Source organism: Homo sapiens, chromosome 19, assembly GCF_000001405.40.
Source record: "Homo sapiens chromosome 19, GRCh38.p14 Primary Assembly".
Taxonomy (NCBI): Eukaryota; Metazoa; Chordata; class Mammalia; order Primates; family Hominidae; genus Homo; species Homo sapiens.
In genome coordinates this window covers 37,250,184-37,265,935 of record NC_000019.10, presented here as the reverse complement: position 1 = coordinate 37,265,935, position 15,752 = coordinate 37,250,184, and the positions used below count along the sequence as shown (strand labels likewise).

At 44.4% G+C, this 15,752-nt stretch overlaps 1 long non-coding RNA gene across 3 annotated transcripts; it reads right to left on the bottom strand.

Moving 5' to 3' along the window:
- Window positions 1-400: 400 nt before the first annotated feature.
- Window positions 401-14,051, bottom strand: LINC01535 (long intergenic non-protein coding RNA 1535). 3 transcript variants are annotated; one of them, NR_110718.1, is made up of 8 exons: window positions 13,754-14,051; window positions 9,954-10,037; window positions 9,417-9,537; window positions 9,122-9,209; window positions 8,542-8,924; window positions 6,867-6,988; window positions 3,281-3,394; window positions 2,323-2,852 (listed from the first exon to the last, which is right to left on the bottom strand). It is a non-coding gene; the product is annotated as a long intergenic non-protein coding RNA 1535 (long non-coding RNA). The 3 variants fall into 3 exon arrangements; NR_110720.2 differs by lacking the exons at window positions 2,323-2,852; window positions 6,867-6,988; window positions 8,542-8,924; window positions 9,417-9,537 and adding exons at window positions 401-650; window positions 3,502-3,581 and having other exon boundaries at window positions 13,754-14,025; NR_110719.1 differs by lacking the exons at window positions 2,323-2,852; window positions 3,281-3,394; window positions 6,867-6,988; ... (1 more) ...; window positions 9,122-9,209; window positions 9,417-9,537 and adding an exon at window positions 401-650.
- Between the last annotated feature and the right edge of the window lie 1,701 nt (window positions 14,052-15,752).

Here is a 15,752-nt window from a genome sequence, read left to right as displayed (position 1 = left end):
TTTTTTGGTGCCCCTTTAAATTCTCTATCCACAGTCCTGAGCCTTAATACGAAGTGAGGGCCTGGCCTCTGGGCATCAAGCAGCCAGAAAGTCCCTTAGGAGCTTTCTCTGAATTGTTGAATTGTGACTGATCTTTTCCTTTCCTGACTTCCTTAATATCCACAATTTCCTCGTAACCATCCCCCCAAAGCCACACCCACAAGGCACCTCCAAGACCTATCATGAAGCAGATATTCAAAGATTATTTGTAAATCTTCACACCCCACCCCTTCCAGAATGTCTTCCAACATCCCTTCGCCTGGAGAAATAAAACACAAGGTTTGCATGTTGAGTATCAGCCTCTCCCATTGGGTGGGTGTTTAGGAAAAAGAATCAGCCAAGAGCCCTATTCCAGCCCAGGTAAATGACTTTGCCAAAGATTTAATATCCACAAATGTACAATGCTCACTGGGAACCAAAGTCAGGCATGGGGCTGGGCTTTAAGGACCACAAACAAAAAGGAGGGACTAGAAAACTTCAGAAAGGTATTGGTGTGGGATGTTGTGGGGGGACAGGGGACAGCGAGGATGTGGGATCCCGAGATCATCCAAATCCCTATGTGTAGACATATGTGTATAAAGGCCTTTAAGAGACTCAGGCTGATGGGGTATCTGTAATAAATCAAACATAATATAACAGCACGTCAAGTGATAAGGGGACTCTGGAAAAACAAGCAGCAAAAGGAGCAGTATCAAACTCCACAGAAATTCACAAACATCAAGACACCAAGAAAGCTGCATTCATTTAAATCAAGGTGACAGGCTGGGCTCCGTAGCTCCAGCCTGTAATCCTAGCACTTTGGGAGGCCAAGGTGGGCAGATCATTTGAGGTTCAAGACCAGCCTGGCCATTATGGTGAAAGCTCCTCTCTACTAAAAATACAAAAATTAGCTGGGCATGTTGGTGGGTGCCTGTAATCCCAGCTAAAGAGGCTGAGGCAGGAGAATCACTCTGAACCTGGGAGGCAGAGGTTGTAGTGAGCAGAGATCACGCCATTGCACTCCGGCCTCGGGGACAGAACCAAACTCCATCTCAAGTAAATCAATAAATCAAAGGTGACAGTTATTGAGTGATGCGGGCCAGGTACAATGATATACCTTCATCTGGATTACCCTCGTGAATCTGAATCACTTGTGTGATACCTGTGCTTTAACGAGTCCTATTTCCCATACTCTTAGCTGGCTTGAGATGTGAAAATCCACCTAAATTATAAACAGAGGGAAAAAAAAAAAAAAAACTAGTGATGTCCTTCCAGGGAACATGTCTAGTTAAAATTAACATAGATAAAAATCGGCAAAAAGATATTTTAAAAAATCTTTTGAAATTAAAAGCCATATAAACCACTGTGTCAATGATGAATTAAAAGAAGAAACTGACCTGCAAACCAGGAAATACATGGAAAGAAGCAATAGTGAAAATGCTTCAGATCTAAACCTGTGGAATGAGGCTACCTCAGTGTCCAAAAATATCATCACTTAAATATAGTGCCAAGGGGTGGGGTGCGGTGACTCACCCCTGTAATCCCAGTATTTTGGGAGGCCAAGGCGGGCGGATCACTTGAGGTCAAGAGTTCGAGACCAACCTGGCTGACATGGTGAAATGCCGTCTCTGCTAAAAATACAAAAATTAGCTGGGTGTGGTGGCAGGCACCCATAATCCCAGCTACTCAGGAGGCTGAGGAAAGAGAACTGCTTGAGCCCGGGAACCGGAGGTTGCAGTGAGCTGAGATGGCACCACTGTACTACAGCCTGGGTGATAGAGCGAGACTCTGTCTCAAAAACAAAAAATTTCCAATGAATAAACTACCTAGCAAGACTTATAGAATGAGACTAAAACCATGGCTGGAGGAAAACTTTTAGCCTGAAAGTAGCCTATGACTTAGAAATTAAGGCAAAAAACTAAGGAGTAAGAAGTTACCCTTCAGGTTAGAAAACCAACAGCATAACAGGAAATGAGAGAGGGAGGAAATAATCAGATGGGGCTGAGATGGGGGCTTCTGGGGATGAAGGAGGCAGGAAGAGCATGTGAAGTTTGTGCATAAAGTCACTCCCTAAGGACAGTCCCTGGGAGGAAGGTGGGTGCACAACGATCGAGCTAGATGTAGAAGGTCTAGAAGTCAATCCTGGAGGGTACATTCAGGGGTTGACAGCAGATAAGAAAACAGGAGGGAAAGTCAAGCGTGGAGCCTTTCCTGTCCCCAGCATGGAAGACAGCAGGAGCTGGTGAGTGAAAGTGATAAACAGCCTTCTCATCACAAAAAAAGTCAAGTACTTGAGGTAACGGATAGGTTAATTTGATTCTCATTCCACACTGTATTGAAAAATCACAACATCATTTTATACCCCATAAATATATACAATTTAGAAGATACATAAAAACCAGCAAGAAAAAAATGAAAAACTATTCTTTGAAGTATTTTTAAAACATGCAGTTTATGGGGTACAATCCAATTTGTCTATATATACATATATTTTTTTTAAACAGGGAGTCAATAAATACAGGAAACAGCCCCTTGGGAGGGAGATAAGGAAAATGGCCATAATGTGCCCTTAGAAAGACACAGCATTTAAATCCATGCATGTGAGAACTCCAGGGTTCAAGGTAAGACCAGGTCAGTGAAGAACAGCCGGCTTATCACCTATAGCCACAGGATGGCACCAACACCCACTGCTCCAGCCTGAGCTGGCCAGAGAGAGAGAACATTCAAGAAAAGCTGGGACTTCCCAGAAGGCCTGAGACCTGCAGGTCCCACACTGAAGTCCAGTGAGGGAGGAAGGTATGATATGAGGTGAAAAAAATACCATAGAGGTGTAGCTGAAATGAAACATTTAATAGTTATTAAATAGTCATTGTACTTCAGGTAAAAGTAGGTAAAATGACAGAAAATGAGAGGAATGAGCCAGACACCACAGATATGTAATGATGGACAATGACCTGATGTGGAGTGTTCACCCACACATGCAGACTTTATATGTTCACATAAACATTTATCTGCATGCATCACCCCGTAGAGATGTTTACACAAACTGCACTGACACTGTGAAGTCAACGAGGAGATAAAGTAAAAATCAAATAGTTATGGAGAGGGTTGGTCTGTTTAGTGGGAAACCCTTCAGAACACGCACACAGCATCTCCCCTCCCTTCTGAATACCATCCATAGCCTGCAGTAGATGGCAAATCACAGCCTGGGCCACCCTTCCCAGAATGTCACAAACATGGACATGCAGACCACAGAATTCACCAGATACCCAACTTGGGTGGTGCCGGGCTCTGAAAGACATGCTTCAAGTAAGAGGGACTAGAAAACTCCGCCAGGGAGCAACAGGGATCAGGGATTCCAGGAGGATCCAGGGGCCTGTGCAAAGAGCAAGCAGTGAGCAGACGTGTGTGTCAGTGATCCGGTGGCATGAACTCAACACCATCTAATACAGCAGCTCACATTTCTGTGTGCATCAGACTCACCTGGGGACTTGTTAAACACAGATTGTTGGGTCTCACTCCTAGAGTTTCTTCTTCAGTATTCTGGGGAGCAGCCTGTGAATCTGTATTTCCAGCATGACTTTCAGGTGCTATTGATACTGTTGGTCCAAGGACCACACTATGATCTAATTTAGCACCAGGTTAGGGGAGGAACTAAGGAGCAAAGAAGCAACAGAAGAAGGGACCTGAAGCCTGTAGGGGCTTCTCTGTAAACTCCTCAAACAAAAGCCTTCAAGACATTCAAAAAACATTTACAGCATCATGTCTACAAATACAAGGCACCACGCAGGGAGTGCTCCATCAAGTAGAGAGAAGAGCCCACTGAGTGTCCCTCTCTTAGTCCGTTTGTGTTGCTATAACAGAATACCACAGACTGGGTGATTTATAAGCAAGAGTTCACTTGGTTTACGGTTCTGAACACTGGGAAAGTGAGGGGCCTGCATCTGGTGAAGGTCTCACTGTGCCGTCCTATGGTGGAAGGTGGAAGGGCAAGAGAGTGACCACATGTGAAGGGGGGAGGGGGAAAGAGAAAGGGAAGGAAGCCAACCTCATCCTTTTATCAGGAACCCCCTCCCAAGATAACTAACCCACTCTAGCTTCATCCATTCATGAGGGCAGAGCCTTCATGACCTAATCACCTCTTAAAGGTTCCACTGGTCAACACTGTTGCATTAGGGGTTGAGTTTCCAACACATGAACTTCGGGGAACACATTCAAACCACAGCAGTCCTCATGTAAACCTTCCAGAAAACCTGTGTGCCTGGCACTCTGGAATCCCTCTTTTCCACCCCTTCTCACTGCAACTCTAACATCATGTCCCCTCATCATTTTCCATTCGAGCATAGGAAAGAACACAATCACTACACCCATTTTTGATGAACCTTTCCTACATTAAAATAATTCTATCACTCAGATAGAAATTTGAAATGAGAATATAGTTTAATGGAAATCCTAAAATACACAGAAAATAAAAATAATCACCAAAAATGTTCAATGAAGCAAAGCAACACATAGAGATCTTATATCCTAAAATATATAGACCTAAATATGTCATTTTAAAAATCAAGGAAGAAACATAAGGAGCTCTATACACACCTTTAAAAATATGCTGTCTAGAATTAATTTGGAATTCTGTTAAGATACATTTTACTAGGAAAAGTATCTAAGTCATTAATGTATCAAAGAAAACAATCATTCTTGTATTGCAAATAAATGCCCAACCAAGACAAAAAGGCATGTCACATCTTATGGGAAAAGACTGAAATGAGGGTGAGAGGAAAACTGTGACCTTTGAATGTAAGACAGAAAAAAATCAGGCCAGAATGTTAAGGAATTGGAAATGATTCTCCAAATTAAAGGAATATGAGACAGAAAGAGAGGAGAGAGGGAGGCGATAGTCCTCCAGGGGCTACTCCAGGGGTGTGGGGGTATCTCCCTTTCAAGGGGCTGTTTCCTGTGTTAACTGACTCCCCATAAAAAAAAATTATATATACTAACAAATGATATTGTACCCCATAAATTGTACATGTTTGCTTAAAAATATTTCAAAGAATTGTTTTGGCTGATTTTTATCTATCTTCTAAATTATATATATTTATGGGGTATAAAATGATGGTATGACTTTTCATTACGATGTGGAATGATGAAATCAAATTAACCAACCCATTACCTCAAATACTTGACTTTTTTTTGTGATGAGAATGCTGTTTAATCACTTTCATCACCACCTGCTGATGTCATCCATGCTAGGGACAGGAAAGCCTCCACACTCCCAGTAGACTCCCTCCAATAGACATCAGGGGTGTGGGGTAGATGGGAATAAAGGAGGCAGAGAGAGCAGTGGGGATGTACATAAAATCACCGTTCAGAGCTGCGCTGTCCAATAAGGCAGCCACTGCCACATGTGGCTGCTGAGCACTTGAAAGATTGCTAAGGCCAAGTGCGGTGACTCGCGCCTGTAATCCCAGCACTTTGGGAGGCCAAGCCAGATGGATCACTTGACGTCAGGAGTTCGAGACCAGCCTGGCCAACATGGTGAAACCCTATGTATACAAAAAATACAAAAAATTGGCCAGGTGTGGTGGCGTGTACCTGTAGTCCCAGCTAATAGGGAAGCTGAGGTGGGAAAAATCACTGGAACCTGGAAGGCAGAGGTTGCAGTGAGCCAAGATCATACCACTGCAGCCTGGGTGACAGAGTGAGACCCTATCACCCTATCTCAAAAAAAAAAGGCTTGGCGCAGTGGCTCACACCTGTAATCCCAGCACTTTGGGAGGCCGAGGTGGGTGGATCAGCTGAGGTCAGGAGTTCAAGACCAGCCTGGCCAACATAGTGAAACCCTGTCTCTACTAAAAATACAAAAAAATTAGCTAGGCATGGTGGTGCACGCCTGTAGTCCCAGCTACTTGGGAGGCTGAGACAGGAAAATCACTTAAACCTGGGAGGCGGAGGTTGCAATGAGCTGAGATCATGCCATTGCACTCCACCCTGGGTGACAGAGTGAGATTTCCTCTCAAAAAAAAAAAAAAAAGAAAAAAGAAAAAAAAGAAAAACAAACAAACAAAAAAGAAAAACAATTAGCTGGGCATGGTGGTGTGTGCCTGTAGTCCTAACTACTAGGAAGGCTGAGGCAGGAGGATCTCGAGCCCAGGAGTTTGAGGCTGCAGTGAGCTATGCTGGTGCCACTGCATTCCAGCCTGGGCCAAAAAAAAAGCAAGAGCCCATCTCAAAAAAGAGGAAGAATGCAAACTATCTCATTAATAATTTTTATTTTGATAAGACGTTGAAGTGATATTCTGGATAATACTAACATTTTAGGTGAAATAAAACACATTATTAATTTCACCTGCTCCCTTTTAACTTTTCTTTCTTTTCTTTTTTTTGTGTGAGACAAAGTCTTGCTCTGTTGCCAAGGTTGGATTGCAGTGGTGCACATGACCTCGGCTCACTGCAGCCTCCACCTCCCAGAATCAAGTGATTCTCATGTCTCAGCCTACTCGGGAGGCTGTAATCCCAGGCACCTGCTACCATACCCGGCTAATTTTTGTATTTTTAGTAGTGACGGGGTTTCACCATGTTGGCCAGGCTGGTCTCGAACTCCTGACCTCAGCTAATCTGCCCACCTCAGCCTCCCAAAGTGCTGGGATTACAGGTGTGAGCTACCATGCCCAGCCTCTTTTTAACTTTTCTAAAGTGACTACTAGAAAATCTAAAATGACGTATGTGTCTGGCATTGTATTTCTATTGGAAAGCACTGCTCTAGAGAGAAATGGTCTCTAGGGAGGCAGAAACATGAGAAACACAAGAGAGGTGGATGGAGGGAAGTGACAGACACATCTGGTGGGTACCTTCAGGTGTTGACAGCAGGAACCCAGGAGATTCAGCAGGGGGACAGGCCCCCATCTATGCACAGCAGGAGAGTAGCATGGCTGATGCTAGGGGTGCTAAGCTGACATACAGAAGTATTCAGCTTTATAAACGTGAAAAACACACCGGTAAGTCACATCCCACAGAACAAATCATAATAGAAATGAAAAAACACTAAGGAACAAATGAAATGATATATAAATATCCAGTACAAAAACTAGCTGGCTTAAGAGACAGGCCCCTTCTCTCCAATATAAGTTCAAATTATAAGAGAAATGAGGGTCCAAATCAAAAAGCCAAGATTGCTGTGATGGTTCATTTTGAAGCAGGAACGTCAATTCCATGCTGGGGTTGAAGGTGCCCTCTACTGTTCCCGCTGTTCTTTGCCCTTTTTGAGGAAAACTGCCTTTCCTGTTAAGTTAGAAATCTGTAGCAGAGAGAAGACTGAGGAAAAACCAAATTTGGGTATTTAAGAAACTAAAGTTCAAAATTACCTGCTAAAGAGAATGAATGTCGAAGGAAAATATAAAATACTTCTTCATGAACAGTAAAGAAAATTCTAACAACCAAAACTTTTGTAATTAGGGTAACAGAAATGGCAGTTTAATCCTCCTGAAGGAATTTTAATTTCTCACTAACAGTACTTCAAAGCTAGGCGTAGAAAATTATTTTTATAGCTTTTCACAAGCATTAAAGCTAAAAATCCAAAATCAGGTCTTTCTCTGATAGGAATTTCTAAAAACAGAAGAAGCCTACAGGACTTTAACCTGGAAGCTACTCCGGGAATCGGGAATGTTTCCTCAGGGCACAGCTACAACTGAAACTTGTCAGGAATTTCAAAAAAAAACAAAACAGACAACTTTGGGATACGGCTGGAGGTCTACAGATGGGTCATTTTATATCCTGAGGTCTGAACAAGATGATTATAGCCCCTTAAAATGATGTACACAAAAGGAGAATAAATTGGAAGAGAGCACAGATGAGTGGTTTATAGGGAGGACCTGCTTTTTTTCCTCTAGTTTTCAGGTCTCCTCGTTGCTGAGGGATCCAGCCCCAGCTCTAGACCAAGAAATGGGAAGATTTTAGAGTGACTAGTGATCTATCATCTACAATTATTAAACATTCTCAGCAGTTTATGCAAAAAATAACAAAACCACTGCAGATAACTAAGACTAGGTAATACATATAATGTTTCCCAAATACCTACCCACAAGCTGAACAATTTTTTTTTTTTTTTGAGACAGAGTCTCGCTCCGTCACCCAGGCTGGAGTGCAATGGCAAGATCTCAGCTCACTGAAGCCTCCACCTTCCGGGTTCAAGCGATTCTCCTGCCTCAGCCTCCCAAGTAGCTGGGATTACAGGCGTGTGCCACCATACCCGGCTAATTTTTGTATTTTTAGTAGAGACGGGGTTTCGCCATGTTGGCCAGCCTGGTCTCAAACTCCTGACCTCAGGTGATACCCCCACCTCAGTCTCCCAAAGTGCTGGGATTACAGGTGTGAGCCACCAGGCCCGGCCAAGCTGAACAGTTCTAAGCTGTTAGGATCATTGCCTCTATTATCACCATGACATCAGGTCACCACCAAACCGTCAAGTGCTAAACAGACAGAATGTTTCCACTCCTGATCCACTGTGTGGAGAAGCACAGAGCTTACCCATGGGGAGCTGCATCAGAAGAGACGCACACGCACCGGGGCGTGCATTTGAATGAAGCAATCACACTTCCATCCCCACAGCTCCTCTGTCCACAGGCACTGTAGTCTGTGCCCTCATGTCTTCTGGGAGACATAGTGGGAAGGTAACCCCCACACCAGTGACACTATGGGGAAAGAGACACTGTGGGACTTTGCCCTGATTTCTCAGGGGCCTTTTCTCTTTTCCGTTTGGGTTACATGTAGACTTCCCTACTGTCCACCTGACCACTCTCGTGCTGCCCAAAACCATAGCTTAAGTCACCACCTAGGCCTTTCTTGGTGTAACTATTGAAAGGTGAGCCTTATCTGTTCAATCTCTATAGAGATTCATCCAAAATCTGGACCTACAAGAATAAAAAAACAAGATTTTCCTGAATATGTCTGGCCTCTCCCTTCTGTGGGATACCCTTAAGAACTATCAGCCCCTCTTTGCTCAAAAACTCCTTGTGACCCTCTTTTGGGAACACAGGGAAAATCCCCCCGGCTCCACACAGTATAGCGCAGGACAGACCCACAGAGAACAAGACCCAAGAGAACCCACCATAATACAAAGTCAGGGAGGGGTGTCCACCATCAAATGTTCAAGCTTGCAGTGGGCCGGGGAGGTAGTGGGTCCTGAGCTCCAGATCCTAGTGGAGGTGGGAGGTGGGCATTAGGCTTTGGACACATGTAGGCCCAAATTACATCTGTGCAAACTCACACACAATGAAAATTACACCAGGTCGGGTGAGATGGTTCAGAAATGACAGAAAGCAGAGGAAGAGGCTGAAAATATGGGCTTCTCTGTAAACTGTGAGGACAATAAATGCCAGCAACAACCCAGGAAGTGTTTATACCTGCATTTCTTCAATTAACAGGGCAAAGTTAGAGCAGCAAGGACCAGATGGGGGCCAGGCACTTCCCCTGGGGCAACCGATGTAAACCTGGAAATCAGTCACCCTCGGCGTCACCATTTTCCTTATGATGAATCAAATATACAGAGAAGTTCACTGATGGGTTCAGCATCAGAAAGCTGATAAATAAAGGCTGGCTCTGAATCTAAATAGCAGCTGTTGGATTCCCAGGCATATACCAAATGCTTATTGACTAAAAATCACCCTCACTAGATAAGCGCAAAGAAACTCACTTTCCACATCTCTCAAGTTATCCATTCTGGTAGGTATTTGCTCTGTAAATTACATATGACAGAAGAAAAAGAAAATGAAAACTCAGGAAAGTAAACACACTTCTAAACTCATGAATGGTAAAATACAGGAATACAATATCCTTGAGAATCCATGAGACTATCCAAAGAAAATGCAATATACATGAGGGTAAAAAGGCCATTTGGCAAAGCCTGCAGAGTCCAAAATCTGGTTTACAAGGAAACTTACCTTCCAATGCATGCAAAACAGAGGAATTGGAAAAGAAGCTCCTAATGATCTTGAGAGGTGGGAACCTAATTATTAGCAGAGCAGCTGCAAAACAGGAAACATTGTGAGTTAAGTATTCAATTAAAAGAAAACATGATTCTACCTGGAAAAAAAAAAAAAGGAAAAGAAGCTCCTATCCTTATTGAGGTGAGAAAAATATCAGCACAAACAGAAGGAAATCATGCCAAAAAAAGTTACAGGCCAATTTCTAAACTACTGTTAGGTTTAAGGCAAACGAGAAAGTCCTGCCCTGACCAATGAACCAGAGCAGAAACTGTGCATTTCAAATACTGGGGGAAATGGACTGGGCATGGTGGCTCCCGCCTATAATCCCAGCACTACGGGAGGCCAAGGCGGGCGGATCACTGAGACCAGGAGTCCAAGACTAGCCCTGCCAACACAATGAAACCAGTCTCTACTAAAAATAGAAAAAATGAGCCAGGAGTGGTGGTGCACAACTGTAATCCCAGCTACTTGGAAGACTGAGGCACGAGAATCGCTCAAACCCATGAGGCGGAGGCTGCAGTGAGCCAAGATTGCACCACTGCACTCCAGCCTGGGCAACAGAGTGAGACTGTGTCTCAAAAAAAAAAAAAAAAAAAATACATATATACATGTATATATTGGGGGAAATGGTTGGCAGTGAGCTTGTTCTGTCCAGGATCCTTCTGATATATGGAAGAGTCTTTGATCCCTTCTCAAAATAATGCTGTAAACTACAGGAAATAAAATTCATAGAATTTCAAAGGAGACTAATTACTTAGAAATGCAGCTATTGGCCAGGAGTGGTGGCTCACCCCTGTAATCCCAGCACTTTGGGAGGCTGAGGTGGGCAGATCATGAGGTCAAGAGATCGAGACCATCCTGGCCAACATAGTGAAACCCTGTCTCTACTAAAAATACAAAAGTAGCTGGGCATGGTGACGTGTGCCTATAGTCCCAGCTACTCAGGAGGCTGAGGCAGGAGAATCGTTTGAACCCGGGAGGCGGAGGTTGCAATGAGCCGAGATCGTGCTACTGCACTCCTCCAGCCTGGATGACAGAGAGAGACTCCGTTTAAAAAAAAAAAAAAAAAAAGAAATGCAGCTATCAGGATACTTCAAATTTTTCTGATATATTAATAGGCATGTTGCTGTGGCAATTTTTAAAAAATGGCCACTCCTCCCTTTGAGAGGCAGAATCGATGTCCTGTCTCCCCGATCCTGGGTGGATTTGTTGTGTTACCTCATAAAAGACCACTCAGCATCTGCCCTGGGAACCTGTGCCACCTAAGAATTCTGACTACCCTGAGACTGCCAGGCTGTAAGGAAGTCAAGGCCACATGGAAACACTACATGTAGGCACTCAGTCCCAGCTGAGCCCCATCTTCCAACATCCCAAGCCAGGTATCAGATATAAGGGAACAAGCCTCCAAATGGTTCCAGCCCCCAGCTGTTGAGTCTTCCGTGCTGAAGCCAGACATCATGGACAGAGACAGCAGGCCACTCTTGTGCCCTGTCTGAAATCTTGACCATGAGCATGAGAATCCACAAACATAATGATTGTGTTGAGCCACTAAATTTTGGTGTAATTTCTTACACAGTAATAGTGCCTACAACAGCCACCTTAACATATTAAGTAACAATATCAAGTAGCAAGTCATCACTGGGAACTGTTATTTGGAATTGTCATTGGGAAGCAGTGACAACCATGAAGGCTATTTGGAGATGCTGTCAGATGACATAAAAACTGCTGTGGTCTCACTGTTAACAATGCCCCATACCCACGGGGTCTACGGCCTACATTCTGGATGGAAGGAAACACTACATTTTGGTTAGAGGAATGTGAAAATTTACATGGGACGGTCTCACAGGCCCCTAAACTTGGCTCATGGAAACTGCGGGTAATAAACTCAGAGTTAGAAGCAGTCGAAAGCATCAAGGCTGCTCATGAAAGAGCTGAGGGTTACGAACACAATTGTAGACAAGAAAAGAGAAAAGACAAAATGGTGGCTCAGCAGGGAGGTCACAGGGATAGCTGGTATTAGTTTCCAGACATCCAAGAAAAGGACACCCATCTGAGTAATGGATTGAGGGTCACTATTAAGATATGGGGAAATATCAAACGGAAACATTAGTGGCTAATGCTGGGCATTTCCAGAGCTCTCATATAACCACAAAAAACTTAATTTTAGGTACAATGTCAGAAGCAGAGGGGTGCTGAGAATTAAGGACAGGCCTATGAAGAATGTGGGGGCTGTTTTATAAAGCACCGAATCTTCACACCTCATGAAGTTAGCAACCTGGAGCCTATAGGAGGTGTCTCATTCACACTATGAAATAAATCCTGTGAAAGTAAGAGATCCACCAACATATATATATATATATATATATATATATATATATTTTTAGACTGAGTCTTGCTCTATGCCCAGGCTGGAGTGCAGTGGCACAATCTCGGCTCAATGAAACCTCCACCTCCCAGGTTCAAGTGATTCTCGTGCCTCAGCCTCCTGGGTAGCTGGGATTACAGGTGCCCGCCACCACGCCCGGCTAATTTTTGTATTTTTAGTAGAGATGGGGTTTCACCATCTTGGCCAGGCTGGTCTCAGACACCTGACCTCAAGTGATCCACCCGCCTCGGCCTCCCAAAGTGCTAGGATTACAGGCATGAGCCACAGCGCCCAGCCCACTGACTAAGATTTTAAAGGAGTTAAGAAGACAGAATCATTACCACTATAAAAAAAATCAAAACCCACTTTGGGAGGCCGAGGCGGGCAAATCATGAGGTCAAGAGATCGAGATCATCCTGGCCAACATGGTGAAACCCCATCTCTACTAAAAATACAAAAATTAGCTGGGCGTGGTGACACGCGCCTGTAATCCCAGCTACTCAGGAGGCTGAAGTAAGAGAATCACTTGAATCTGGGAGGTAGAAATTGCAGTGAGTGGAGATTGTGCCACTGCACTCCAGCCTGGTAACAGAGCAAAGGGAAAGACCTGACCATCCCCCAGCCGGACACCCATAAAGGGTCTGTGCTGAGGAGGATTAGTGAAAGAGGAGGGCATCTTTGCAGTTGAGGTAAGAGGAAGGCATCTGTCTCCTGCTCATCCCTGGGCAATGGAATGTCTCCGTGTAAAACCCGATTGTATGTTCTATTTACTGAGATAGGTGAAAACTGCCTTAAGGCTGGAGGTGAGACACGCTGGCAGCAATACTGCTCTTTAATGCACCGAGATGTTTGCGTACGCGCACACCAAAGCACAGCACCTTTTCTTAACCTTGTTTATGACAGACCTTTGTTCACATGTTTTCCTGCTGACCCTCTCCCCACTATTACCCTACTGTCCTGCCACATCCCCCTCTCTGAGATGGTAAAAATAATGATCAATAAATACTGAGGGAACTCAGAGACCAGTGCTGGCGCAGGTCCTCCATATGCTGAGCGCTGGTCCCCTGGGCCCACTTTTCTTTCTGTATACTTTGTCTCTGTGTCTTTTTCTTTTCTCAGTCTTTCATCCCACCTGAGGAGAAACGCCCACAGGTGTGGAGGCGCAGGCCCCCCCCTTCAACATCCCACTAAATAATACAACTGGCAAAAAGTGGGATTTTTAAAGGTTGGGGAGCCATATTAAACATAATCTAAATCAGGAGTTTATTTTATTTTATAAACCGAAACCCAGCAGTCACTCCCTCCCCTCAGGGCATTCTGCAACAAAACACCTGCCGAAAAATAAAAGGGTGTTTTACTTGAGTGGGCTGAAAAGTCCCCGTTTTTATACCTTTAATCTCCAGATCCTATGTGTCAGAGGTCGGGAAACTACATCAGCCCCAGTCCGGGCGCCCATGAGACCTGTGGACGGACGGGGAAGGGCCTGGACGCAGCCCGGGCCCCAGTTTCTGCCGTGGCGATGGCCGATTGAAGGCCAGGACTCCCCGCCGCTGACCCTCCAGTCAGGAGGGTTAGGCAGGCGCTCCCATGTTAGGCAGGCGCTCAGCCGAACATCCCAAGGTTGCGGAACCACTATACCCGCCGTGCGCCTGGATGGCATCTGCAGACCCAGCGTCCGCCGGGCTCCCGGAAACGTGGGGGCGGGCTTCCGGAAACGGTGACCAATGGGAAACGCGACCAGCTGACAGTCCTATCCAGGCAGCACAGAAAGAAGGGAAGGTGGCAGTCAGACTTAAGTAGACAGATCTTTTAGCCAATGGATGTGCAAGAGAGGGGAGGTTTGCTCCATGTTGGCCAGTAAGAAGTGCTTGGGCCGACCCGCCTCCAAGTCCTGGGAGGACAGTTCAAATTATGGAGGAGGGGCTGGTGCTAGGCAGCAGTGGCGAGGGGAGTAGTGGGGATTAGGGGGAGCACGAGATCATTCACCTTTGCCGCTCAGATTACCAAGCCTGTGACTTTGAGAATGGGTGTCTTCCTTGCAAGGTTTCAATCTGAGGCTCTTGGGAAGAGGGAGGAATTGGAGCCTGATGGAAGCGCTGGTGAGAGGAGCGGGTGTAGGGAGAGTGGAGAATGTGTCAGTCAGGCGGTGTCTTTATTCCTGGCACCTCACTTAGCCTGCCCTAGTTTCTCAGTCTATTCCAGGAGCATGCTCTTGACCCTGCAGGGGCCTGAAAGGGAATGTTGCTCGCCAGTCTCTGCTTCCTTGGACTGGATTGGAATTGGTCCCACGAACTTAGGCATTATGATATATTGTTGCGTTTAGATTCACTTGGTTTTTACATTGTGCTTTCTTTTCCCCTTTCCCTTCAAGGATTTAGAATGTTTTATTTGCTCTGTTTAATTATATATGATTGCCTTGAAGATTTCACCTTGAATTAAAATTACATGTTTTTGCCTGTCTTTATTAATATTTAAAAATACTAAAATAACACATGTTCATAATGAAAATGAAATATTACAAATAAATATAAAGGAAAGGCAGTATTCCCCCTCCAGTTCCACTCTTGAAATAACGAGTTAACAAGATGATGAGCATCTTCCCATTATGTTCTCCACGATTCATGTAAGTATTTACACACATACAGAAGCATATACAGTAGTCCCCCTTTATTCATGGTTCTACTTCCCACAGTTTCGGTTACCCACAGTAAATTGTGGTCTGAAAATATTAAATGCAAGATTCCCGAAAGAAACAATTCATAAGCTTTAAATTGTGGGCTGTTCTGAGGAGCGTGATGAAATATCTCACTGTCCTGCTTTATTCTGCCTGGGATATGAACACCCCTTTGTTCAGCAGATGCACGCTGTATGCGCTACCCTTAGTCGGTGAGTAGCCAACTTGGTTATCAGACTGACTGCCGCAGTATCACAGCGCTTGTGTTTAAGTGACGCTAATTGTACCTAATGATGGCCCTAAAATGCAAGAGTAGTGATGCTGTCAATTTAGATATGCAGAAGAGGAGCCCTAAAGTGTTTCCTTTAAGTGAAAATGTGAAAATTCTTGACTGAATAAGGAAAATAAGTCGTGTGCTGAGGTTGCTAAGATCTATGGTAAGAACAAATCTTCTAGCTGTGAAAGTGTAAGGAGGAAAAGAAATTTCTGCTAGTCTTGTTTGTTGAACCCCAAGCTCTAAAAAATACAGCCACGTGTGATAAGTGCTTAGTTAAGATTAAAAAAAAAAAACATTAAATTTGTGCTTGGAAAACATAAACAGAAATGTGTTCTGATCGACAGCAATTGGGTCATACTATCCACGGTTTCATACATCCTCTGCGGGTCTTAGAACACATCTCCTGCAGATAAGGGAGGGCTACTATATAAAGTTTCT